This window comes from Homo sapiens, chromosome 18, assembly GCF_000001405.40.
Source record: "Homo sapiens chromosome 18, GRCh38.p14 Primary Assembly".
NCBI lineage: Eukaryota > Metazoa > Chordata > Mammalia > Primates > Hominidae > Homo > Homo sapiens.
The window spans coordinates 23323242-23350809 of NC_000018.10; the positions used below are offsets into that span (position 1 = coordinate 23323242).

General features: G+C 40.7%; 1 protein-coding gene across 23 annotated transcripts in view, besides 1 other annotated feature; it reads right to left on the bottom strand.

Moving 5' to 3' along the window:
• The window catches only part of SLC35D4 (solute carrier family 35 member D4), a 199440-nt gene that overhangs the window by 84720 nt on the left and 87152 nt on the right, over window positions 1-27568 (bottom strand). The window contains exon 14 of one of the 23 annotated variants that reach the window (XM_047437893.1): window positions 10819-10860. The exons of the other annotated variants lie outside the window; for them this stretch is intronic. Within the exon in view, the coding sequence (XP_047293849.1) occupies window positions 10819-10860 (42 nt within the window). The remainder of the gene's footprint in view (window positions 1-10818; window positions 10861-27568) is intronic. 23 annotated transcript variants of the gene reach the window in all.
• Window positions 7031-7699: an enhancer, noted in NCBI's record as "H3K27ac-H3K4me1 hESC enhancer chr18:20910236-20910904 (GRCh37/hg19 assembly coordinates)". NCBI's record gives its function as "activates a minimal SCP1, AML or CMV promoter by ChIP-STARR-seq in primed H9 embryonic stem cells {active_cell/tissue: H9 hESC(primed)}" and the evidence as "EXISTENCE:reporter gene assay evidence [ECO:0000049][PMID:30033119]".

Genomic DNA, 27568 nt, shown 5'->3' on the forward strand with positions numbered 1-27568 from the left:
CTTTTGGTATAACAATAACTTCAATTCACACTACTGTTACATTTAGCAGTAATGGAGGTGAAAGAATAGATCTGCCAAAAGAGAAATATCCAGACCCCAGACCCCGACACTTCCTTATAACATTCAAAGGTAGGAGATGTGGTTGCCCATTAGGTAAAACCCTGTTGCCTGCTTTTCACCTGCCTCCTTCCTTTATTTAGCTCAACACTTCCTGAAGAGCATTGGCTGGAAGAAGTGAGCCCTCTACGTGACATCAAGGACTGGACCCTGGCTCCAAGTCTGGTCACACTCAGTTTTACATGACCAGAGAGTGAGAACTTCTTAGGAACATACAAAACTTGCACAATACATTTACATAAACCATGAAGACCTTCCAGCTCTTGCCACGCAACCTATTTGCCATGGACTGAATTGTCCATAATTCACAAGTTGAAGCCCAACCCCCAGTGTGATAGTATTTGGAGATGGGGCCTTTGGGAGATGATTTAGTTTAGATGAGGTCATGAATGTGGAGCCCTCACCATGAGATTCGTGCCCTTATTAAAAGAGACCAGAGGCCGGGTGTGTTGGCTCACGACTGTAATCCCAGTACTTTGGGAGGCCGAGGCGGGTGGATCACCTGAGGTCAGGAGTTCAAGACCAGCCTGGCCAACATAGTGAATCACCATCTTTATTAAACTACAAAAATTAGCCAGGCATGGTTGGGCAGCCTGTAGTTGTAGTCCCAGCTACTTGGGAGGCTGAGGCAGGAGAATCACTTGAACCCAGGAGGCGGAGGTTGCAGTGAACCGAGATCACACCACCGCACTCCACCCTGGGCGAGGAAGTGAGACTCTGTCTCAAAAGAAAAAAAAAAAAAGAAGAAACCAGAAAATAAATAAATAAATAAAAAGAGACCAGAGTTTGCTCTCCTCCCAGCTGCCCCAGGTGCACAAAGAAGAGTTCATTTGAGTGCACAGGGAGAAGGCAGCCATCTGAAACCCCAGGAGGGAGCTCTCACACGACACCCACCCTGCTGGCACCTTGCTCTTGGCTTACTCTTGGACATTGCAGCCTCTAGAACTGTGAGAAAGTAAATTTCTATTGTGTAAGCCACCCAGTCTGTGATATTTTGTCATGGGAATCGAGCTAAGACACCTTCCCTTGCTCTTTTGGAGAGTTTAAAAAATGAAAGTTTGTTTAAAAAGGCTGAATGTTTCAAAAGACGCTTTCATTGAATTAGAAGTGAAAAAGGAAAAGGGCTTTGGGTTTTTGCTGGGATGAAGTTGAGGCCAAATTACGTTCACTGAGCACCACAAAGGGCATTAGAGAGGCAACATGAAAGGCGAGATCTGCCCTCGCAACACCCCACGCTGGGTTAGCTAAAGCAAAGAATGTCAATATTATCATAGGGTAAGTGCTAAGACATGGGCAGACTCTGAATGTTATGGGAACAAACCCCACTTAGGGCTGAGTCCTGTGCTAAGCCTAAAGGGCACTCAGGAATTACCAGGGGAGGAAGAGTGGGAAGGGCAGTCTACGGAGGGGGAACAGCATGAACGAGCCCAGCACAGTCTACGCCACTGAGTGTAAACTGTAATGCCAAGTGTGCTGTGGTTAAAGGCCACTGCTAAAGCCAAAGGAAAACCGAAGAGAGTGAAAAAATCATAGTTTAAAATCCCTTTTTCCTAGCAACATATTTTAAAAGTCCCATGGAGAATCCTATTCATTTAAAGAAGAGGGGCAGCTGGTCCCAGGAAGATTAGGCATGCAGTTTTATCAGCAGACCAGGGGCAATCCTCTGTATGGATGCCAAGAGAGCGTCTCCGAGCCCCGTGTGTGTCTGTGAGACAGCAGTGAGCCAGCAGGGAGAGTCCTGGGTGCTCCCTGGCTGGGTCACAAACTGGCTGAATAACCTCAGGCAGACCCATCCCCATCTCTGGATTTCAGGTTTCTCTATAAAATAAAGGAACCATCTAGAAAGTATTTCTCAGGGACTAAATTCTGTTCTTTCCCTTATTATCTGTCTTTGAAGGAGTAGGGGATTTTATTCATTTCCGGACTTGTCCTAATGAGAATTTTCAAGAAGCTTAAAAAGGTAGATCAATTCAGACACAAAATATCAATCAGAAGTAGGTAAGAAACATGAAGGAGAGGGGAAACCAAGGAGAGAAAGGCAGAGGGAGGACAGGACAAAAACCACACCAGGGTGGCTGCTGTGCACAGGAGGGGCTTGAGTGTGGCCGCATGATTCCTGGCAGCCAAAGCAAAGAAGGTGCGTGATCAGTTGCACACTGAGTGTCCCTAAAATTCTGGCAAACCAATGCTTGGGAGAAGCCATTCAATGTTAATCTATCTTCTAAGTTTAACATGAGAATGTTGTTACAGACATTCAAGCATATGTTCCAAAGAAAGCAGAGAGCCTTTAATTTAATAAATCTGTCAGCTGCCACATCAAGGTCCAATGTAAAGACCCAGAGTAAAGAAATGTGTTATCTTGTCCCCTCCAATGTATAAAGTACCCCTCTTCATGAAAGCTAAATATATAGAAATATGAATTGTGGCCTTTCCCTGGTCCCACAAAAGGAACGTCAGCTGCTGGCAAGGGCCCCCCCACCCCGTGTGGGTACAGCCAGGAGCCCATCAAGTGTCCTTCTCTATCAAGAAGAAAACAATGCCCATCAGTGGCTACTTTTCATAAAGATCTCTTAAAGCCTGCGGACAAGGCACACACACATTTTCTGAAGGCAAGGAGTATGCATTTCAGAATCCCCTTGCAGCACCCCTTAGTAACTCGGTTTATTCATCTCTACAGCAAAATGTGATTTGCTGATTGTGCAGCCATCTCCAAAATGCTGGGGGACCAGCAATATGCCTGGTGGCCCTGCCATGTTTCTGGTGGTCACTGACTGAGCATGTGCTCAGGACAAAGCATCTAGTCCCTGCTCTGTGTGATAGCAGGATCAAATTCACACATAACAATAATAACCTTAAATGTAAATGGGTTAAATGCCCCAATTAAAAGACACAGACTGGCAAATTGGATAAAGAGTCAAGACCCATCAGTGTGCTGTATTCAGGAGACCCATCTCACGTGCAAAGACGCACATAGGCTCAAAATAAAGGGATGCAGGAAGATCTACCAAGCAAATGGAAAGAAAAAAAAGCACAGGTTGCAATCCTAGTCTCTGACAAAACAGACTTTAAACCAACAAAGTTCAAAAGAGACAAAGAAGTCCATTACATAATGGTAAAGGGATCAATTCAACAAGAAGAGCTAACTATCCTAAATATATATGCACCCAATACAGGAGCACCCATATTCATAAAGCAAGTCCTTAGAGACCTACAAAGAGACTTAGACTCCCACACAATAATAATGGGAGATTTTAACACCCCACTGTCAATATTAAACAGATCAACAAGACAGAAGGTTAACAAGGATATCCAGGACTTGAACTCAGCTCTGCCACAAGCAGACCTAATAGACATCTACAGAACTCTCCACCCCAAATCAACAGAATACACATTCTTCTCAGCACCACATTGCACGTATTCTAAAATTGATCACATAATTGGAAGTAAAGCACTCCTCAGCAAATGTAAAAGAACAGAAATCACAACAAACTGTCTCTCAGACCACAGTGCAATCAAATTAGAACTCAGGATTAAGAAACTCACTCAAAACCGCACAACTGGAAACTGAACAACTTGCTCCTGAATGACTACTGGGTAAATAATGAAATGAAGGCAGAAATAAAGATGTGCTTTGAAACCAATAAGAACAAAGACACAATGTACCAGAATCTCTGGGACACATTTAAAGCAGTATGTAGAGGGAAATTTATAGCACTAAATGCCCACAAGAGAAAGCAGGAAAGATCTAAAATCAACACCCTAACATCATAATTAAAAGAACTGGAAAAGCAAGAACAAACAAATTCAAAAACTAGCAGAAGGCAAGAAATAACTAAGATCAGAGCAGAACTGAAGGAGATAGAGACACAAAAAACCCTTCAAAAAAATCAATGAATCCAGGAGCTGGTTTTTTGAAAAGATCAACAAAACTGATAGACCACTAGCAAGATTAATAAAGAAGAAAAGAGAGAAGAATCAAATAGATGCAATAAAAAATGATAAAGGGGATATCACCACTGATCCCACAGAAATACAAACTACCACCAGAGAATACTATAAACACCTCTACGCAAATAAACTAGAAAATCTAGAAGAAATGGATAAATTCCTGGACACATACACCCTCCCAAGACTAAACCAGGAAGAAGTTGAATCTCTGAATAGACCAATAACAGGCTCTGAAATTGAGGCAATAATTAATAGCCTACCAACCAAAAAGAGTCCAGGACCAGACGGATTCACAGCCAAATTCTACCAGAGGTACAAAGAGGAGCTGGTACCATTCCTTCTGAAACTATTCCAATCAATAGAAAAAAAAATAGGGAATCCTCTAAAACTCATTTTATGAGGGCAGCATCATCCTGATACCAAAGCTTGGCAGAGACACAACAAAAAAAGAGAATTTTAGACCAATATCCCTGATGAACATCAATGCAAAAATCCTCAATAAAATACTGGCAAACCGAATCCAGCAGCACATCAAAAAGCTTATCCGCCATGATCAAGTCGGCTTCATCCCTGGGATGCAAGGCTGATTCAACATACGCAAATCAATAAAGTAATCCATCACATGAACAGAACTAACAACAAAAACCACATGATTATCTCAATAGATGCAGAAAAGGCCTTTGACAAAATTCAACAACGCTTCATGCTAAAAACTCTCAATAAATTAGGTATTGATGGGACGTATCTCAAAATAGTAAGAGCTATTTATGACAAACCTACAGCCAATATCATACTGAATGGGCAAAAACTGGAAGCATTCCCTTTGAAAACTGGCACAAGACAGGGATGCCCTCTCTCACCACTCCTGTTCAACATAGTGTTGGAAGTTCTGGCCAGGGCAATCAGGCAGGAGAAAGAAATAAAGGGTATTCAATTAGGAAAAGAGGAAGTCAAATTGTCTCTATTTGCAGATGACATGGTTGTATATTTAGAAAACCCCATTGTCTCAGCTCAAAATCTCCTTAAGCTGATAAGCAACTTCCGGAAAGTCTCAGGATACAAAATCAATGTGCAAAAATCATAAGCATTCCTATACACCAATAATAGATAAACAGAGAGCCAAATCATGAGTGAAGTCCCATTCACAATTGCTACAAAGAGAATAAAATACCTAGGAATCCAACTCACAAGGGATGTAAAGGACCTCCTCAAGGAGAACTACATACCACTGCTCAACAAAATAAAAGAGGACACAAACAAATGGAAGAATATTCCATGCTCATGGATAGGAAGAATCAATATCGTGAAAATGGCCATACTGCCCAAGGTAATTTATAGATTCAATGCCATCCCCATCAAGCTACCAATGACTTTCTTCACAGAATTGGAAAAAAACTACTTTAAAGTTCATATGGAATCAAAAAAGAGCCCGCATTGCCAAGACAATCCTAAGCCAAAAGAACAAAGCTGGAGGCATCACGCTACCTGACTTCAAACTATACTACAAGGCTACAGTAATCAAAACAGCACAGTACTGGTACCAAAACAGAGATATAGACCAATAGAACAGGACAGAGGCCTCATAAATAACACCACACATCTACAACCATCTGATCTTTGACAAACCTGTCAAAAACAAGAAACAGGGAAAAGATTCCCTATTTAATAAATGGTGCTGGGAAAACTGGCTAGCCATATGTAGAAAGCTGAAACTGGATCCCTTCCTTACACCTTATACAAAAATTAATTCAAGATGGACTAAAGACTTAAATGTTAGACCTAAAACCATAAAAACCCTAGAAGAAAACCTAGGCAATACCATTCAGGACATAGGCATGGGCAAGGACTTCATGACTAAAACACCACAAGCAATGGCAGCAAAAGCCAAAATTGACAAATGGGATCTAATTAAACTAAAGAGCTTCTGTATGGCAAAAGAAAATACCATCAGAGTGAACAGGCAACCTACAGAATGGGAGAAAATTTTTGCAATCTATCCTTCTGACAAAGGGCTAATATCCAGAGTCTACAAAGAACTCAAACAAATTTACAAGAAAAAAACAAACCACCCCATCAATAAGTGGGCAAAGGATGTAACAGACACTTCTCAAAAGAAGACATCTATGCAGCCAACAGACACATGAAAAAATGCTCATCATCACTGGTCATCAGAGAAATGCAAATCAAAACTACAATGAGATACCATCTCATGCCAGTTAGAATGGCAATCATTAAAAAGTCGGGAAACAACAGATGCTGGAGAGGATGTGGAGAAATAGGAACGCTTTTACACTGTTGGTGGGAGTGTAAATTAGTTCAACCATTGTGGAAGACAGTGTGGCGATTCCTCAAGGATCTAGAATTAGAATTACCATTTGACCCAGCAATCCTATTACTGGGTATATACCCAAAGGATTATAAATCATGGTACTATAAAGACACATGCACATGTATGTTTATTGCAGCACTATTCACAATAGCAAAGACTTGGAACTAACCCCAATGTCCATCAATGACAGACTGGATTAAGAAACTGTGGCACATATATACCATGGAATACTATGCAGCCATAAAAAGGATGAGTTAATGTCCTTTGCACGACATGGATGAAGCTGGAAACCATCAATCTGAGCTATCACAAGGATAGAAAACCAAACACAACATGTTTTCTCTCAGGTGGGAACTGAACAATGAGATCACTTGGACACAGGGTGGGGAACACCACACAACGGGGCCTGTCGGGGATGGGAGGCTGGGGGAAGGATAGCATTAGGAGAAATACCTAATGTAAATGATGAGTTGATGGGTGCAGCAAACCAACATGGCAGGTGTATACCTATGCATCAGATTTGCATGTTGCGCACATGTACCCTAGAACCTAAAGTATAAAAAAAAAGAACAAAAAAAGAAACCCAACAGGTGAAGAACAATCCCATTTCTGTAAAAACAGAAAACCTCAGGAATGTGTGTATAAAAAAAATTTCCCAAAGAATATACTCTAAAATGTCTATTATGGTAGAGTCCCATAAGCTTTTTTTTCATTTACTTTCTACATGTTCTATAATTAGCCTTTTGAACTTTTTAAATGAAGATAGTGGACTAAATGGTTTCTAAGGTTTTTTTTCTAGAGATGTCATGGGTCAAAATTAAAGTCACAAGTTAAGGGGAAAGTTATTTGCTTCAATAATGGTGAATACCCCCTACATTAAATACCTACAGGAAAATTCAAACTCTGACCAGGAAACCACGCCATTTGCATTTCCACACCCCAGCCCATGCCTGCTCATGTCTGGGGACGCCTGGCATTCAGCTCTCCGGATGGTTGGGCTGCAGGTGTCCCTAAGGTGCACCCTGACAGCCGGCTCGCTCTGCGGAGCTGCAGAGTGAGTTCCTGGCTCCCGTGACAACCTACTTCCCTTACGTTCATCTGTTCTCCATTAGTCTCCACCAGCCTCTCAGTTTCCTGGAGGTGTTTTCTACATTGTACAGTTACATGTAAAGAAAAATGCAACAGCAGCAAAGCACGGGGGGTCCAGACACAAGCACCCCTTCCCTGGGAGACTGCTTACCACCATCACAGTCAGACGCTCAAGCAGCACCCACACGAGAGGAGAGCCACCAACGTGAAGCCTTTCAGAAAAGGCCCACGGGCAGCCTGGGCAACTAGCGAGACCCCATCTCTACAAAAAAATTGAAAAATTAGCCAGGCGTGGTGGCTCATACCTGTACTTCCAGCTACTCGGGAGGCCCCAGCCCAGCAGGAGCGTTCAGCGAGAGGCAGAGCCCCGGAACAGCGGTGTTCACTCAGTTAAACCTCATGGTCTGAGAGAGTGGCAGGTGTGCCGTTTTCCATAATTAGTCACAGCCCCTGAAGGAAAAGCGCGCCCGTGTGGGGCAGGACCAAAGGAAGAAACGCTTCTGCAATGCTACCGGGAAGTCTGAGCTCACCTTCTTTACCTTGGCACCGAGCTGAAGATCTGTTAGAAACCCTCTCCAACCAGGACTTTCAGGAGAAACGGTGGCCACCGCCCAGAATAACAAGGCCCCAGCAGCAAGGTGTCCTTTTCCCAGCAAGTGAAACCTGCCCCCCGCCACCACCTGTAGTACAGGAGACACCACAAAGCAAGAGGCCCCAGGGCTCTGCTCGGGAAGCTGCCGGGCCTGTTTTTCCTCCCAGTGGCCAACAAACAGGAGGGCAGGTTCAGCACGTTGGGCTCTGCTTTCTGAGCGCCGCACCATTACAGCATCCACATCCGATTTTTAAAACTGAAGTATAACATAAATACCGTGTAGTGTAGGAGGCACAGGAATCTCAAGTACATGGCTTGCTGAGCATTTATACCCATTAGCACCCACACAGCTGCCACCTGGACAGAGACACCGGCCCTTCCCAGCATTGCACCAGGCTCCGCAGACTCCTCCCAATCCATTCACTCATCCCGAATCCCCTCTGTGGCCATGTGCCCTTTCCTACTGCAGTGAGGATTCCATTGTATGGACAGATGAAATTTATGGACTATTTCATCTAGTTAGGTGCTATTATGAATAAAGCTGCCATGGATTTTCTTGAACATGTCTTTTTTTTTTTTTTTTTTTTGAGATAGAGTCTTGCTCTGTTGCCCAGGGTAGAGTGTGGTGGAGTGATCATAACTCACGGCAGTCTTGAACTCCTGGGCTCAAGCAATCCTCCCACTTCAGCCTCTCAAAGAGCTAGGAGCACAGGCACACACCTTTACACCTGGCTAATTTAAAAAGAATTTTTTTTTTTTGTAGAAATGAGGTTTCACTATGTTGCCTAGGCTAGTCTCAAACTCCTGGCCTCAAGCGATCCTCTCACCCTGGTCTTCCAAAGCCCTGGGATTACAGGCGTGAGCCACCACACTTGGCCTTGAACATGTATTTTTTTTAAAAAAATAACAGGCTTACTGAGATATAATGCACACACCATAAAATTCACCCTGTGGAAGAGTACAATTCAATAGCTTTTAGTATACTCACAGTTATGCAGCTACCACCACCATCTAATTCCACAACACTGAACATAACTTGTGAACATATGTCTTTGTTTCTCTTGGGTAAATACTGAGGAGGGGGAATACGTAGATGTTGTATTATGTAGATGTTGTTTAGCTTTGGTACTTCTAAAGCATAAATATCATTCTACAATCCTCACCAACATTTGGTATTGTCAATTTTTTTCACTGTAACCATTCTTTTGGGTGTGTGATTCCACATCAGAGTTAATACCACATTTTCTCAATTCCCCATTCTCTTACTACCAACCAAATATAAACTGAAAGCTGAAATTTCACCTAACAACAGAGGACTCATCTAACAATCTTCAGGACTGACTTTTTTTTCCCTTTTCTTTAAACACCAGTGTAGCACTTCCAAAATGTTAGATAAAATGATGTATCAGGTCCGCTGAGATACTTCAAAAATTGATTAAAAAAAAAAAAGCTAACAGTAACTGCTTAACATACATTATTTTAAATAATTCTTGCAACATTTCTGTGAAGTGTATGCAATTATTCTTATTTGACATATAAGCAAACTGACACATAAATAAGTTATTTGATTTTTCCAAGGTCATATTGCCAGAGAATGAGATTCTTACCCAGGTCTTTCTGTCTCCGAAATGCTGGGCTGCTTGTCACTACTCTCTATAGTCTCATCTCCACAGCCGGTTATAAGATAGGACACTCTATACACCTGCTGAATACATTTGCTGACATAACATCTTTGCACAAAGCAATATGAAAAAAAAATTTCAGGGAAAAGAAAACCTTCATAAAAAGCATAAGTATTGAAACCAGGTTATATATTATGTAATTCTTAGAGTAAACATTCTTAAAAAAGCCCAACTATAACCTGAGGAAAATAATAATAAACATGGCTGACTTCATAGAAGATACAGCCTTCAAATAATTAGGACTGATCAGATCTGGGTGGTTCACACAGCAATAGCTCAATAACCCAATCAAAGATGCATCTACTGTCTGCCTATGGGCTCAAAACTGGGCTGGTTAACTGTTGGGGATAAAATAAGGCACTCTCTCAGTGCTTAAAAGTGAACTCCTATTCTGATTTATGGAGTGTTCTAGCTATCTATGAAGCACAGAATATATATAGCATACTCTAAAGAAAGACGAAATTTAATAACTGCCAAAGTGTTGTACTCCCTTAACCTAACATTTCAAGAGTGCATGAAGGAAGCAAAGTGCTCTGAATGGCACAGCCAAATGGCAGCAAATGTTTGGCAATTTGGAATAATAAGATCAACACTGCTCCCAGTGAAATTCCCAAGGCGGGAATGCAAGGCCTGAAGCTACCAGAACACCCCTACTCCCACCTGAAGGAAAAAATACGTTTTCACAGATAACAAACCCTCCCTTTCAGGGCAGAAGGCAAGGCACAGGTAGCAACTGCTGACTGCATCACTGAAACTGAAGACTTCAAATTCCAAGAAGATAAATCTAACATTGAAAAAGTAAATTATTTTGTTCTTTTCTGGAGGTGGAGGGGTAGTCATCGTACAAAGGACTAACCTGAGACTTGAAAATAATGGCTCCTAATTCCATTTGGACTACAAATTTTGGAAGTACTGTAAAAATCACCAACTCTTTTGCAATTCAAATTATGCCTCTGGGTGCTCTGCTAGGTGCTGGGGATGTAACCCTGAGTAGGATGTGCCCTGCCTTCCTTGGGCTCACAGGCTGATAGAGCAGGTGGATTGCTGGGAAGTATAGTTACCTGATTATTATTATTTTTCTGTTTTCCTTTACTTTTCTTCTCCTGAAGGGGAGAAAAGGGAAAGTGGTGGGCATTTGATATATCAAATATTGACTAATCACCTACTATATTCAAGGCCAACCATAACCATGCCAGAAAATTGTGCGGAAAACACATAAAGCCCTAAGTAGGGAATAATGGCCTGAGGGTGAGGCAGGAAAGAAATAAGACAGAATTCTTCTTGGACACAGATGCAACCCTGGGCCTGCTCCTTGTGCAGCAATCCCCACCCCACACCACCCCAGAGCTCACACAAGAAGACTGACATGGAAATGTGGCCAGGGAGACCCTGTTCCCCACACAATCCTCCCCTTCAACCCTTCTCCTGTCAAACTGCACAGAAACAACCAAAATTACAAATTCAGTCTCATGGCTAGTTGTATTTATGTGATACAAAGCAATTAGCTGTTGACTTAAAAACTTTTCTTGTTGCATACTTGACTAACTGGCTATTTTGGAGTCCTATAAACAAGCACAATTTGCTCGTACTTCACTGTCTGGCCTTAAAATCAGACACAGTCTACTTATACATAAACAAAACAACACCAAACATCTTTATCTAAAGAACGACCAGGTTAGCGCAAAGTGCCACCATAGAGTGAAGAAGGGGAAAAGGGGCCGGCCGGGCACGGTGGCTCATGACTGTAATTCCAGCATTTTGTGGGGCCCAGGCAGGCGGATCACTTGAGGTCGGACGGGTTCGAGACCAGCCTGGCCAACATGGTAAAACCCCATCTCTACTAAAAAAAATACAAAAATTAACTGGGCTTGGTGGCACGGGCCTGTAGTCCCAGCTACTCAGCAGGCAGAGGCAGGAGAATTGCTTGAACTGGGAGGCAGAGATTGCAGTGAGCTGAGATCGCGCCACTGCACTCCAGCCTGAGCGACAGAGCGAGACTCTGTCTCAAAAAAAAAAAGAAAGCAAGCAAGCAAGAAGGAGAAAAAGCAAATTTGGACTACTTTTTGTAAGAGAGGAGAGCAATTTTAAGCAGGAAAAAAATGGGTGAATAACTACACTTTATACAAATTCCACTTTTGGGGATAGAACAGGAAAACAAGTCTGAGGAGGCATCCGGGTACCAGGCCACCAAGATGTCTCTAAGGCACAATGTAACAGACAGTTATTTTCACAAAATTGTACCAAGTAAATATCTGCTAAAATTCTTCCAAATTTACATGTCATGCCTTTCTATCATTGATGCATCCAAACTTAGCTTTCCCATAAAAAAGTCTACTCCTTCAAATTTCCCAAGAGCTGCTTCATCTAGGTCTGCTTTGACTATGGCAGTCACTCTGCTGACACAGGCCATAGGTCCTGGCCATTGTCCGCCCTCTGGTTGGGGCACCAGCAGAACTTACTGTGCTCTTTGCTAACTACCCTATGTTCAGCCACACCTTAGGGAACTTAGTTTTAGGGATACACACAGAGGGTCTTTAAAAAGAAAACCGAACCCCTATAGAATAAATGGCACAAAGAAAGGAAGGAATGGGTATATCACAGGAAAATGGGGCAATGAAGTTACTTTACGAGATATATGCAGAATTCCACCTTTCTCTGTTTCTGACAGGAGTGCAAAGGTGTGCAGAATAAAATCAGTTTTTGAGTGAGTACTCACCCCACACTCATTTATTGGACACCATACTACAATAAACCAAGCACACATCAATTCATCCCCTAGAGGAGGCCGTGCAAATATTCCCAATTAACTGGCCTTTATGTTGCAAAAACGACTTTCATTTTTTAAAAAATTATCTGGGACACTAACGGCACCCATAAAAACCTTAGAGTCAGGAAGTTTACAGAAAGTAAGGACATCTCCCCAGTAAATGAACAAATGATAAATGAGCGAATTCATTCAAGTCAGAAGTTGTGAAACAGAATTGTTATCCTATTTTTGCAACACAGAAGATTGTGATGATCAAAGGCATTAAAAATAGCTCGGAAAAAATGAAGACAACATAACTGGAAATTAAAAAAAAAAACAAGAACCTTACTCAAAACAGCAAAATGTCCACTCATAGCACTCATTTCTCTATGAATTATTTTGACAATAGGAAATGGAATTTAAAAATTTTTCCTGAATCCAAAACTGTATTTCCCCTCCCACGTTCCCTGCAGGAAAACCTTGTTCATAAACAAACAACTCCCAGATAACTAACTTCTTGGCTGGCTGTTTCCATGCGAATGGCAGCTCCCAAACTTGCCACTTCATGTTCCTGTCGCCTCATCAGTGATGTCATGGAAAGACATCAGACATGCTGTTATTATTGCCGAGCGAGAGTCTGCAAAGGAAATTATGCTGCTGCCTCTAGGTTTTAATTTTCCATGAAAAATTATTCTTATTGCCATAGCCGCTGAGACAGTGAAAAAGAAAAATGATTTAATTAGGGAACAGCCATAATTAGATTTTTTAAGCATGGTCTTTCAATATAAAAGTTACATTACAGTACAGCTTCATGTGGTTTAACAATGTATTTTCATCAGACCCTTCCAGAACATATGAAGGTGTTGAATAACAACTGAAGGAAGAAAAGGAATGCTAAACTGCTATAAGAAAGTTATATCTGAAATGAGCTTCGAAACGTGATGGGAAGGAGGAGTGAGGTGTCCTCAGCAGCTAAGATGGGAAGAACCTCAAATAGTGAACTGGGGAGAGGAGCCCCCTCTTCTGTGATTACCGTTCACCATCCAGGTGGTGGAGAAAGACAGTAACAGGCTCCCCACCCAAGAGATAGTGGGAATCAGGATGATAATGCAAGGATGACTAGAAAGAAAGAAATAACAGCAGTAATAGAATACAAAGTAGAAAAATGAAGAGAACCAACTCTGTTCAGCATAGACTTGACCTAGTGAGAGCAAAGTGTGATGGGCTTTGTAAACATACTTCTATGATTTCCCCTGTAGTGTGTGTGTGTGTGTGTGTGTGTGTGTACCAGAAATTGAACCTATAAGAACTATGATTACAGACTATGAGAGATTTGTTTACTTGTCACCTCCTCAGAAGTTCAAGGTATGAGTCAATGTTAAGCCTTGAAACTTCCCTACAAATGTATCTCAAAAAATTAGTGAAGGGTAAAAAATTACATTATTTAGGCCGGGCGCGGTGGCTCACGCCTGTAATCCCAGCACTTTGGGAGGCCGAGGCAGGCGGATCACAAGGTCAGGAGATTGAGACCATCCTGGCTAACATGGTGAAACCCCCTCTCTACTAAAAATACAAAAAAAATTAGCTGGGCATGGTGGCGGGCACCTGTAGTCCCAGCTACCTGGGAGGCTGAGGCAGGAAAATGGTGTGAACCCAGGAGGCGGAACTTGCAGTGAGCTGAGATCATGCCACTGCACTCCAGTCTGGGCGACAGAGCAAGACTCCGTCTCAAAAAAAAAAAAAAATTACATTATTTAGAAGTCATGAAATCTGTGTGATTATTCCACGTTAAAAAAAAATTCATCTTTTTCTCTTAATTCCACCAGAAACATCGAGAGTTTTACCAATGGTCTTGGAGATATTCTAAAATTCTGAACATGGAATCTTAATAACATCTGTTGATAACACTTTCATGAGTTCATCGTATATTTCAAACAGGTTTAATTTTGTCTAGTAAAGTGACATAACCAAGACTCCTTCTTAGTTCAATATTGTGGCAATAGATCAAGACACATGTCAATGTCAACATGTCACTGAAGAAAGAAAGACATTAGGCCTTGCTATTACTTTCACCCAAGCTCCTGAAACCTGGAAAAATAGCAGGAGAGATAGGAAGTTGAAACTCAGAAAAATTCCTAGGCAGCTAAGAGATCTTCATAAGGATACATCAAAAAGAGGCTGAAATTAACCAGCTGACTCTTTTCAACTCTTAAGGGAAACTCCTATATGGGAGACATGGTCAGGGATGGCGGTCATGTTACCCACAAGGAGGCGTTGTTATGGAGACAGCTTTGAAGGATCCCTGGCAATTCCAGTGTATAATTAAGGCTAGTGAGTGATCACAGAACAGCCAGCAGGGTGGTCTCCATGGAAACCACCAAACATATATTTTCACATGCAGAGCAAATGTTCTGAATCAATGACTCTTTATATAGGTTTAAAAACATTGTGAATGATGCATCAATTGCTTCTTCTGTGAGACAATAACTGATTAAATATGCAGTGAGAGACCTTGTCCTCATGCATGCTGAATTCTGAGTAGTGTCTAGAATAGACAGTCCACAACTAAATTCACTACCTAGAACTAGTGAATACAAACAGTAAATTCAGACCCAGGAAATCACTGGTTAATTTCATGAGAGAATTAAAACAGCAGATTGATGGAGTCAAGGAAGACCTGCCAACTGCTGGCTCTCATTAATCTAGGGCTCTCTACATATTATTTAATCCTCTCAATAACATAGACATTATTATTGCATTGTTTACAGATGAGAAAAAATGATTCATACACCTAGAAAGTGGCAGACAAGACTCAAAAGCTGGGTTCAAATTAAGTCTTGGTCTAGGTCTGTATGACTCTACATAATGCTCTGTGTCTGCAGAGCACTTTTCCACCCCCCAGCCATTTTCACATATATTATCTCATATATTCTGCTTTGAAACACTTAGGATCACAGGTTCTAGCATTTTCTAATTTTGCAATATGTCCCCCCGGGTCCTTGACTCTGTGCCCAACTTCTGTACCCACAATGCGCTCCAGGTTCTAGGACTTACATGGGACCATATCTAAGAAGGCTTTGCCCATCTTTCACTCTGACAGTATGAACACCATTCCATCCTAAGGAGCAATAGGAAGGAAAATCTCATGCCATAAGTGTAACAAGGTCTCACTCTGTGGCTCAGGCTGGAGTACAGTAGTGCAATCATAGCTCATTGCAGCCTCAAACTCCTGGCTCAAGCAATCCCAATCCTCCTGCCTCAGCCTCCCAAGTAGCTGGGACTACAGGTACAAGCCACCACACCTGGCTAATTAAAAAAAAACTTTTTGTAGAAATAGGGTCTTGCTATGTTGCCCAGGCTGGTCTTGAACTCCTGGCCTTAAGCAATCCTCCTGCCTTGGCCTCCCAAAGTGCTGGGATTACAGGCATGAGCCACCACACCTAGCCTATAAGTATAAATTCTGACTGTCCAAACAAAGCAAAAAGAGAGATAAACAATCCAATTAACTGCTTGTAGCATTTACAACACAATCATCCACAAGAGAAGGTGGAATTTGGAGACAGGGGTGAAAGGTCAGATTGCTGCATATTTCCTACTTTAATCAGTCTTATTACATAATTTTAAAATCTGGCAAATGCTTTATTAAGTAGGCACTGATAATTAATAATATAGTTCCTAGCAGATCATTATATAATGCTACAATTCAATGTAAATGTGATTAGCATTTAGTCTTGAATACCAGATACAATAGTCAGCACTGTCAGAGCTTGTTATCATCACAACGTTTGTGCACTATCTTTGGATATCTTTCTAGTTCAGACTCCTTGCTTTACAGATGAAACAATGGAGGATTACAGGGTGTCTTAGTCCATCTGGGCTGCTATAACAAAATTCTATAGGCTGGGTAGCTTACAAGCAATAAAGATTTGTCTCTCATAGTTCTGGAGGCTGGTAAGGCCAAGGTCACAGCCCCTGCAGATTCCGTGTCTGGTGAAGGCTGCTGTCTCAGAGATGGCACTTTCTCACGGCATCCTCAAGGTGGAAGAAGCAAGGCAGCTCTCTGGGACCTCTTTTACAAGGACACTAATGCCCTTCATGAGGGCTCTGCCTTTATGAGCTACTCATCTCCCAAAGTCCCCGCCTCTTACTACCATCACCTTGGGGCTTAGGATTTCAAGGTATTGATGTTAGGGGAACATAGACATTCAGACTAGAGCAAAGGGGTTCCGCGAATAGTGACCAAAGTCAAACAGTGAGTACTTCTTCCTTTCCTTTTTCCCCCTGAAATCCCAGTCTCTCTACCACGCACCTCATGGAAAAGACTAGAGCCTCCGTGCATGCCTCTCTCCTATCACTGCCCAGGACATCTCTAGTATCACCCAAACTGTAAGAATCTAGTGCTTGGGCAACATAACAAGATCTCATCTCTACAAAAAAATAAAATTAGCCTGGCATGGTGGTGCGTGCCTATAGTCTCAGCCACTGGGGAGGCCGAGGCAGGCAGATTGCTTGAGGCCAGGAGTTTGAGGATACAGTTGCATGATGGCATCACAGCACCCTGGCCTGGGTGATAGAGAGATCCTGTCTCTAAAAAAAAAACAAAATCAAGTATATCTTAAAACCCCTGGAGTTGCCAGCTGTTTCAGGCCAGCAGTACATTATGACATAGTTTTAGGGAAGGGATAGGGGAGGCAAGTGAGGTGCCTAGGCTGCGGCATTTGAGGAGGTGCTTGTTCACACTCAGGCACCAACCCAGCACTGCACAGCCCAAGAGTGAGGGCCACCTTCATCTTGGTCCTGTGTATATGAAAGATGAAATTCTAACAATGGAAAATATAAATGAAACCAAATCAAGAGACTTATTCTGAGCAAGCTATGAAAAGTTATTTTCCCAGGGCCATAGAAAAAAACAGACAAAGGCTGGGTTTTCTGCCTGTCATTGTCTTCGGGACATGAGATGGTGGTAGCAATTACGGCATCAGCTTTAAAGGAAGAAAGTGATCTTACAGAGGCAGCTTTGAAAGGAGGAGCACAGACTGGCTCCTCAGGCCCCACAAGCATTGCCGCTGCTGTCCCGGGAAGCTTCTCCGCCCCTTGCTCTTGCGCCACATAAACTCACTCTGACCTCCGCTGCTTCTTCCCAGTGATGCTGAGAACTCAAGTCAGTCTGAAGTTAACAAGAGTAAGACAAGGCACTACTCAATCCAGGAAGAATTCTCATGTGAGGATTGAAATCTGCTGGAGAAACTGACTAGGAGAAAACTATAAACTCACACACACCACATCTTCCTTTCACGTCTACACACGTCCCTGCATTTCTCTTCAATTTGTTTACTTTGTTCTGCCTGAGTGCTTTACATCATATGTGAGAGGGGATCCTGAGATTTTATGAAGATGCAGTTAGATTTTACATGCCCAAATTTACCAAAATGAGAGATTATTTTTTAAAGAGTTGCTAAATATTCCAATACTTTTGGCTTCTTAAATTTTTTCTCAAATGCCCAGAGAGAAAAACAACAATAATAGTGATAACAACCTAAAATGACTTCAAAGGCACTTTTTCTCCACGCTAAGTATTCTCAGATCTGAGGAAGATACTGAAAAAGGTGAGGACCAGAGACAGACATGGATGCCTTCTCTCAGAACTTGGAACTGATGAAGTTGATGTGACATCTTCGAAAACAGCCCCCAAATGGGTCCTTTTGGAGCAGTGAAGAAGGCCCCTCGGCCCCCTTAACGACCTCCCTCCCTGTGTATTTTTTAGTCTTCACATAAGCCCGATTCTCCTCTGGCACCACTGAAACATCCTTCTGAGTCACTTTCTGAACATGCTGGCACCCAGTGTAGGCACAATGACATCATGGGAATGCTGTATTGCTAAGTACGATTTTGTCGTATTTCAAATGTCAGCACGTTTTGATGTGTAGGTGGTTCAAAGAATGGATACATATTCTACCACGGAGGATCACAAGCTTATTTTCAAATAGGAAAAAGAGAGAGAGAGGGGAGATTGCTTGATGTACCCGAGGCTGGAAGAGATAGATCTTAATGGCTCATTGAATCCAATTTTCATTTAAGAAGAATTAGCATTAAACCACAGCAGCCAATTAAAAATCCTCCCTCTTCTGAATTAACTATTGAAGAGAAAAATTATAAACTTCCCTCAGAATTTAAGAAGAAAAGAAAAATACAATAAATAAAAAAGAGACTTGAAACTAGTTGTCAAATAGGTAAACTCATATACACAGGAAAAAAAAAAATGTCCTAAATCCTAAAGGACAGGATTTAAGCACTATGCTTTGAGCACTATTACTTTACAGCTTTCAGGGATGATTTGCATGCCATAAAATTCACTTATTATAAAGTGTAATGATTGTTAATGGACAAATTTAATAAATTAACTTAAATGATGATGCAACCATCACCACAATCCAGTTTGAAAGTTTCCATTAGCCAAAAAACTTCCTTTGAGTCTATTCACAGTCAATTTCTTTCTCTAAGAAACCACTGGTATACTTTCTGTCTCTATAAAATTGCCTTTTTATGGGCATTTCACACAAACTGAATAATACTATATGTATTCTTTTGTGACTGGATTCTTTAGCTTAGCATAATATTTTTGAGGTTCATCCATGCTGTAGCAATGTATTAATAGCCCATTCCTTCTGATTATTGAATAGTATTCCAAATTGTATATATATATACTATATCTTATTTATATATTCACTAGTTGATGGACATTTAGAATTATTTCCAGTTTGGGTTTCTTATGAATAATGCTAATATGAACACTCATGTATGGGTTTTTTTGTGGCCATATACTTTCATTTCTCTTGGGTAGATTCTTAAGAATAGAATTGCTAGGTTGTAGTCACTTTATGTTTAATCTTCTAAAACTACCAAACTGTTTTTGAAAGTGACTGTATATATGCCTACCAGCAATTTATGAATGTTCTGGTTTCTCCACATCCTTGCCAACATTTGGCACTGTCTGTACCTTTTTAAAAAATTATAGTAGTGGGTGCGTGGTGATATCTCATCATGGTTTCAATTTGCATTTCTCTAATGACTAGTGATGCCAAACACCTTCCTATGTACTTATTAACCATTTAGATATCTTCTTTTATGAAATATCTGTTCATGTGTTTAGATCAGTTTTATTTTTTATAAGTATCAACATTATCTTTTTTTTTTTTGAAATGGAGTCTTGATCTGTCACCCAGGCTGGAGTGCAGTGGCACAATCTTGGCTCAATGCAACCTCCACCTCCTGGGTTCAAGTGATTTTCCTGCCTTGGCCTCCCAAGTAGCTGGAACTACAGGCGTGCGCCACCACACCCAGATAATTTTTGTATGTTCAGTAGAGACAGGGTTTCACTATGTTGACCAGGCTGGTGTCGAACTCCTGATCTCAGGTGATCCACCTGCCTCGGCTTCCCAGAGTGCTGGGTTACAGGCATAAGCCACTATGTCTGGCCTCAACATTATCATTTTATTTATTTATATTTTTTATTTTTATTTTTATTTTTTTTGAGACAGAGTTTCACTCTTGTCGCCCAGGCTAGAGTGCAATGGCGTGATCTTGGCTCCTGGGTTCAAGCGATTCTCCTGACTCATCCTCCTGAGTAGCTGGAATTACAGGCATGCGCCACCACATCTGGCTAATTTTGTATTTTTAGTAGAGACAGGGTTTCTCCATGTTGGTCAGGCTGGTCTCAAACTCCCGACCTCAGGTGATCCGCTCACCTCCGCCTCTCAAAGTGCTAGGATTACAGGTCTGAGCCACCAAGCCTGGCCTATTTATTTATTTTTAACTTGTATTTTTTGTTAACTTTTAGGTTCAGGGGTACATCCCCAGGTTTGTTATATAGGTAAATTGCATGTCACAGGGGTTTGATGTACAGATTATTTCATTACCCAGGTAATAAGAATAGTACCCAACGAGTAGTTTTCCAATCCTCTCTGTCCTCCCATCCCTCACCCTCAAGTAGGCCCCGGTGTCAGCCGTTACTTTCTTTGCATCCTTGTGTTCTCAATGTTTAATTCCCACTTATAAGTGAGAACATGCGATATTTGGTGTTCTATTCCTATGTTGTTTCGCTTGGGATAATGGCCTCCAGCTCCATCCATGTTGCTGCAAAGGACATGATCTCATTCTTTTTTTTTTTTTTTGAGATGGAGTTTCGCTCTTGTTGCCCAGACTGGAGTGCAATGGCGCTATCTCAGCTCACTGAAACCTCCACCTCCCAGGTTCAAGTGATTCTCCTGCCTCAGCCTCCAGAGTAGCTGGGATTACAGGTGCGTGCCACGACGCCCAGCTAATTTTTGTATTTTCACCATGTTGGTCAGGCTGGTCTCAAACTCCTGACCTCAGGTGATCCACCTGCCTCTGCCTCCCAAGGTGTTGGGATTACAGGTGTGAGCCACCATGCTCGGCCAATCTCATTCTTTTTTATGGCTGCATAGTATCCCATGGTGCATATGTGCTACATTTTCTTTATCCAGTCTACCATTGATGGGCATTTAGGTTGATTCCATGTCTTTGCTATTGTGACTAGTGTTGTGATGAACACACATGTGCATGTGTCTTTATGGTAGTACAATTTACATTCCTTTGGCTATATGCCCAATAATGGGATTGCTGGTTTGAATGGTAATTCTGTTTTAAGTTCTTTCAGCAATCAACAAACTGCTTTCCTTTAGACCATTTTTAAATTGGGTTGTAGGTCATCTCATTGAGGTGTAAGAATTCTTTATATATTCTGGATATAGTTCCTTTATCAGACATTATGATTTGCAGATATTTTCTCCTAGGCTGTGGCTTACCTTTTAATTTTCTTTTTCTTTTTTTTTCTTCTTTTTTTTTTTTTTGTTTTGAGACAGAGTCTCGCTCTGTCGCCCAGGCTGGAGTGCAGTGGCGCGATCTCGGCTCACTGCAAGCTCTGCCTCCTGGGTTCATGCCATTTTCCTGCCTCAGGCTCCCGAATAGCTGGGACTACAGGTGCCCGCCACCACGCCTGGCTAATTTTTGTATTTTTAATAGAGACCAGGTTTCACCATGTTAGCCAGGATGGTCTTCATCTCCTCACCTCATGATCCGCCCGCCTTGGCCTCTCAAAGTGCTGGGATTATAGGCGTGAGCCACAGCACCTAGCCTACCTTTTCATTTTCTTAATGGTGTTTTTTGAATTGTAAAAGGTTTTAAGTAAACTACATTTTATCAATTATTTTATGACTTATGCTTTTGGTGTCATATCTAAGAATCTGCCAAACCCAAGGCCATTAAGGCTTTTTGTTATGTTTTCTTCTAATAGTTTTCCAGTTTTAGCATTACATTCAGGTCTGTGATCCATTCTGAGTTAATGATGGCGAGCAAGGATCTAAGATTGTTTATTTGTAGGTTGGTTTGTATATGGATATCTGATTGCTCCAACACCGTTTGTTGAAAAAACAATCCTGGCCAGGCGCAGTGGCTCACGCCTGTAATCTCAGCACTTTGGGAGGCCGAGGTGGGCGGATCGCTAGGTCAGGAGTTCAAGACCAGTCTGACCAACATGGTTAAACCCTGTCTCTACTAAAAATACAAAAATTAGCCGGGCATGGTGGTGGGCACCTGTAATCCCAGCTGCTCAGGAGGCTGAGGCAGAAGAATGGCTTGAACTCGGGAGGTGGAGGTTGCAGTGAGCCAAGATCGCACCACTGTACTCCAGCCTGGGCGACAGAGGGAGACTCCATCTCAAAAAAAAAAAAAAAAAAAAAAAAAAAAAATTCTTTCCTCATTGTGATTGGCACCTCTGTTGAAAATTAATTGACCATAAATGCCTATCCCTACACCAATACCATAATGTCTTGATTATTCTAGCTTAGTACTAAATTTTCAAATCACATAATTTAAGTCCCCCAACTTTATCTTTGTCAACATTGTTTTGGCTATTGCATTTCCAAATAAATTTTAGACAAATTTGTGAATTTCTACCAAAAAAAAAAGCCTGCTGGGATTTTGACAGGGATTACATTGAATCAATTTAGCAAAAATTTCCATCTTAACAATATTGTATTTCTTGATTTTTTAAGATTTTATTTAATTCCTCTCAAAAAGGTTTTATAGTTTTCAATGTATAAATGTGATACTTCTTTGTTAAGTTCCAAAGTATTTTTTCCTTTTTGATGCTATTGTGAATGGAATTGTTTTCTTAATTTTATTTTAATAAACATGACTTTTCATTACTAATATATAAAACTTTGAGCTGGGTGCACTGGCTCATACCCATAATCCCAGCACCTTGGGAGGCTGAGATGGGAGGATTGCTTGAGGCCAGGAGTTTGAAACTAGCTTGGGCAACATAAGACCCCATCTCTACAAAAAAAAAAATATTTTTAAAGTAAAACTAGTTTTATTTATTTATTTAAGAGACAAAGTCTTGCTCTGTCACTCAGGCTGGAGTGCAGTGGTGACAATAGCTCACTGCATCCTCAAACTCCTGAGCTCTGGCGATCCTCCTGCCTCAGCCTCTTGAGTAGCTGGGACCATAGGCACATGCCACCATGCCAGACTACTTTTCTTATTTTTTGTAGAGACAGGATCTCACTATGTTGCCCAGGCTGGTCTCAAGTGATCTTCCCACTTCAGTCTCCGAAAGTGCGAGGATTATAGGCATGAGCCACCACACCCTGCCTTCAACTATTTTTATAGTTTCCTTGGGATTTTCTATATATATGATGGTCTCATTTGTGAATAAAGACAATTTTATTTCTTCCTTTCCAATCTGGATGCTTTTTTTTTTTTCCTATTGCACTGCCTATTGCATTCCTAAAAACTCCATTCCAATGTTCAATAGAAATGGTGAAAGTGGACATTCTTATGTTGCTCCTGATCTTAGGGGGAAAGTATTCAGTCTTCCCCTGTTAAAGATAATGTTAGTTACAGGATTTTCACAGATTTTATCAGGTTCTCTTATATTACTAGTTTTTTGAGAGTTTTTATAATGAATAGATGCTAGATTTTGTCATGATTTTTCTGAACCTATTGAAATGATCATGTATTTTTGTTCTTTAGTCTGTGAAAACAAGGTATTACATTAGTTAATTTTTGTATGTTAAACCAACTATGCATTCCTGAGATAAATCTCACTTGATTATGGTGTATAATTCTTTTTATATGTTGCCAAATTTGGTTTGCTAAGATTTTGCTAATATATTTGTCCCTGTGTTCATGAGGAATATTGGTAATTTTCTTATTATTTGTTTTATCTGGCTTTACAGCTGGGTAACCCACCTCATAGAATAACTTGGGAGTTATTCCCTCTTCCTTTAGTTTCTAAAAGAATTTGTTTTAAAACACTTCTTCTTTAAATATTTGATAGAATTCATCAATAAAGCCAACTGGGGCTGAGCTTTTCTTTTCCTAAAAACCTAAGAAAGATTTTAAATTACTTATTTTTATTTACTTGTTATGGATGTATTCAGATTTTTCATTTCTTCTTGAGTCAGTTTTCCTTATTTGTTCCTTTCTGGGAATTTGCCCATTTCATCCAAATTGACTAATTTTCTGTCATAAAGTTATTCAAAATCTGAAGTTATCTACAATATACAATCCTTTTAGCTTCTATAGGATCAGTAGTAACATCTTTTTCATTTCCAAATTTGATAATTTGCATCTCTCTCTCTCTCTCTCTTCTCTCCTATCTCTCTCTCTCTCTGAGACAGGGTCTCACTCTGTCACCCAGGCTGGAGTGCAGTGGCGTGATCACGGCTCACTGCATCCTTGACCTCCCAAGTGATCCTCCCATTTCAGCTTCCCAAGTAGCTAGGATTACAGGTATGTGACACCATGTTCAGCTAATCATTTAAAATTTTTTTCTTGTAGAGATGGTGTATCACTACGTTACCCAGGCTGGTCCTGAATTCTTGGGCTGAAGTGATCTTCCTGCCTTGGCCTCCCAAAGTGCTTGGATTATAGGCATGAGCCACCATGCCTGGCCTCTTTTCTCTTATTTTCTTGGTCAGTCTAGCCAGAGGTTTGTCAATGTTGCTGATGTTTTCAAAGAATCAACATTAATATTCTACATTATTTTTCTGTTTCCTATTTCATTAATTTCCACATTAAACTTTATTATATCCTTCCTTCTGCTTACTCTGAATTTAGTTTGCCCTTTCTTCTTTTCTAGTTTCTTAAGATGGAAGCATAAGTTATTGATTTGAGACCTTCATTCATTTCTGATATGGGTGTTTACAGATATAAATTTCCCTTCAAGCACTACTTTAGCTGCATCTATAAATTTTGATATGTTGTATTTCTGTTTTCATTTGATTGAAAAATTTTAATATCCATTGTAATTTCTTCCTTGACCTACAAACTATTTAGAAGTATATTTAATTTCCAACTAAATGGGGTTTTTCTAGATTTTTTTCTATTGTGAATTTCAAATTTAATTCTGCTATGGTCAGAGAACATACTTCATATGATTTCAGTCTTTTAAAACTTGGGAGTTGTTTTGTCAACCAGCATACTATGTATTGTGGAGAATATTCCATGTGCGCTTGAGAAGAATGTGTATTCTGAAATCAATTGGTGGGGTGTCACATAAATGTCAGTTATGTCAATTGGTTGATAGTGTTGTTCAAGTCTTCTATGTACTTCTATATTCACGCTTTTCTACTGAGTTGTTCTGTCAACTGCTGAGAGTGCAGTATTGAAATCTCCAATTAGTATTGTTAAATAATCTATTTATCTTTTCTATTACTTGTTGTTTCACATACCTTGGGTGCTGTTTTAGGTGTATATATATTTAGAACTGTTATATCTTCCTAATGCATTAACACTTTTATCATTATTAAATGTCCCTATTTTTTCTCTAGTAATATTTCCTGTTATAAAGTCTATTTTGTCTGATTTTAATATAGCCACTATACCCAGCTTTCTTATGGTAACTGTCTGTGTGGTTCTTCCATCCTTTTACTTCCAGCCTACTTGTGTCTTTTACTTTAAGGTATAACTGTTATAGACAGCATATAGCTCATATAGCTGGGTTTTGTTTTTAAAAAATCCAATATGACAGTCTCTATTTTTTGTCAGGTATTTAGTCTATTCATATTTAATGTAATTACGGATATGGCTGCTAGCAACAAATCTCTTAGTTTTTATTCATCTAGGAATGTTTTTATTTCTCTTTCATATTTGAAGAATAGTTTTGCATATATCAAATCCTTGGTTGACAGGTTTTTCTTTCAGCATGTTGAATGTGTCACCCCACTTGCCTTCTGGCCTCCACTGTTTGTGATGAGAAGTTAGCCACTAATTGCACTGTTGTTCCCCCATATATGTTGAATAATTTCCCTCTTGCCACTTTTAAGATTTTCTCCTTGTCTTTCAACAGTTTGATTATAATGTGTCTAGATCTCTTTTTGTTTATCTTACTTGGGACTCACTGAACTTACTGAATCTGTAAATTAATATTTTTCAACAAATTGATTTCTTCAAATATTGTTCTAACCCTCTCTTCTCTTCTGGGATTCTTATTACACATATGTTTGTTGCTATATTTGATGTCTCACAGGTCTCTGAGGCTCTGTTCACATTTCTTCAATTTAAAAAAAACCTGTTTTTTGGCCAGGCACGGGGGCTCACGCCTGTAACCCCAGCACTTTGGGAGGCCAAGGCAGGTGGATCACGAGGTCAGATATCGAGAACATCCTGGCTAACATGGTGAAACCCCGTCTCTGCTAAAAATACAAAATATCAGCCAGGCGTGGTGGCACGCACCTGTAGTCCCAGCTACTCGGGAGGCTAAGGCAGGAGAATCACTTGAACCCAGGCAGTGGAGGTTGCAATGAGCTGAGATGACACCACTGCACTCCAGCCTGGGCGACAGAGCGAGACTACGTCTCAAAAAACAAAACAAAACAAAACAAAAGCCTATTTTTTTAGATTGAATTATTTCATTTGCTTTACCTTCTTATAAGTGGTACTTATAAAAGAACTTATAAGTTCACTTATTCTTTCTTCTGCCACGTCAAATCTGTTGAGTCCCTCTAGAGCACTTTCAGTTCAGTTATTGTACTTTTTACCTCTAGAATTTCCATTTGGTTCTTTCTTTTCCTTTCTGTAAATAATTTATATCTCTTTACTGAGATTCTGTATTCACCGAGTCTTTGCTTCAATTCTTTAAACATGGTTTCCTTTTGATTTCTGAATAAATTTAAATAGCTGCTCTGTAGACTCTTTAGGCTAAATCCTACTTCTGAGGACAGACACCCAGAGATAGTTCCTACTGACCACTTTTTTACTACACACAGATCACATTTTGCTTCTCTGAATGTCTCTCATGTTTTTGTTGAATACTGAACCTTTTACATAACATACGGTAGCAACTCTGAAATCTGACTTTCCCCACAAGATTTGTTGTTATTGTTGTTTTGCTTATTTAGTGATTTTCCTGAACTAAATTGTGAATGTGAAATCTGTCTCCCATATAAGCTACAGCTGCTGATGTCTTTACTCAAATTTTTTTCTTGTTTTTATTTTTAAATCTGGTGTCTAAGGGTCATCCTCATGTCTGCATAGCTTAGTGTTCTGGCAAAGACTAGTCAGAAATTTTGCTCCAACACCTTGGGCCAGAAAGGCTTCTCCCTGCTCCTGACTCTGTGTGCGGGCTGGGAGAGCACATTCAAACCCCAGGCTGTTTTCACATCTGCCCTGGCTTTTACTTTCTGCTAGCTCTTTCACAGCTCCTCTGTGTGTGTATGCAGGCTCTGCTGGCCAGGAATACGTGAGCCTGTTCCATCACTACTGCTCATATACACAGACTAAGTTCAATCTGGGACATATTAAAAAAAATCAAGCCCCTGATTGCTGTCTCATCTCTCAGAACTACCTATTAAGTCCCCCACTAGACCACTGGTCCACTGCTTGTTCCAAAGAGGACTATCAACTCAAGCTAGTAAAGCTACTGGCCTTTCGTGTTCATGCACCACCGAGTTGGCCTATTTAACAGACAATCCTCCAAACAGAGTGAACCCCTCTTGGAAGTGGTGGTAAGCCTGCTGGTTTTCACAGCCTCGCCTGCT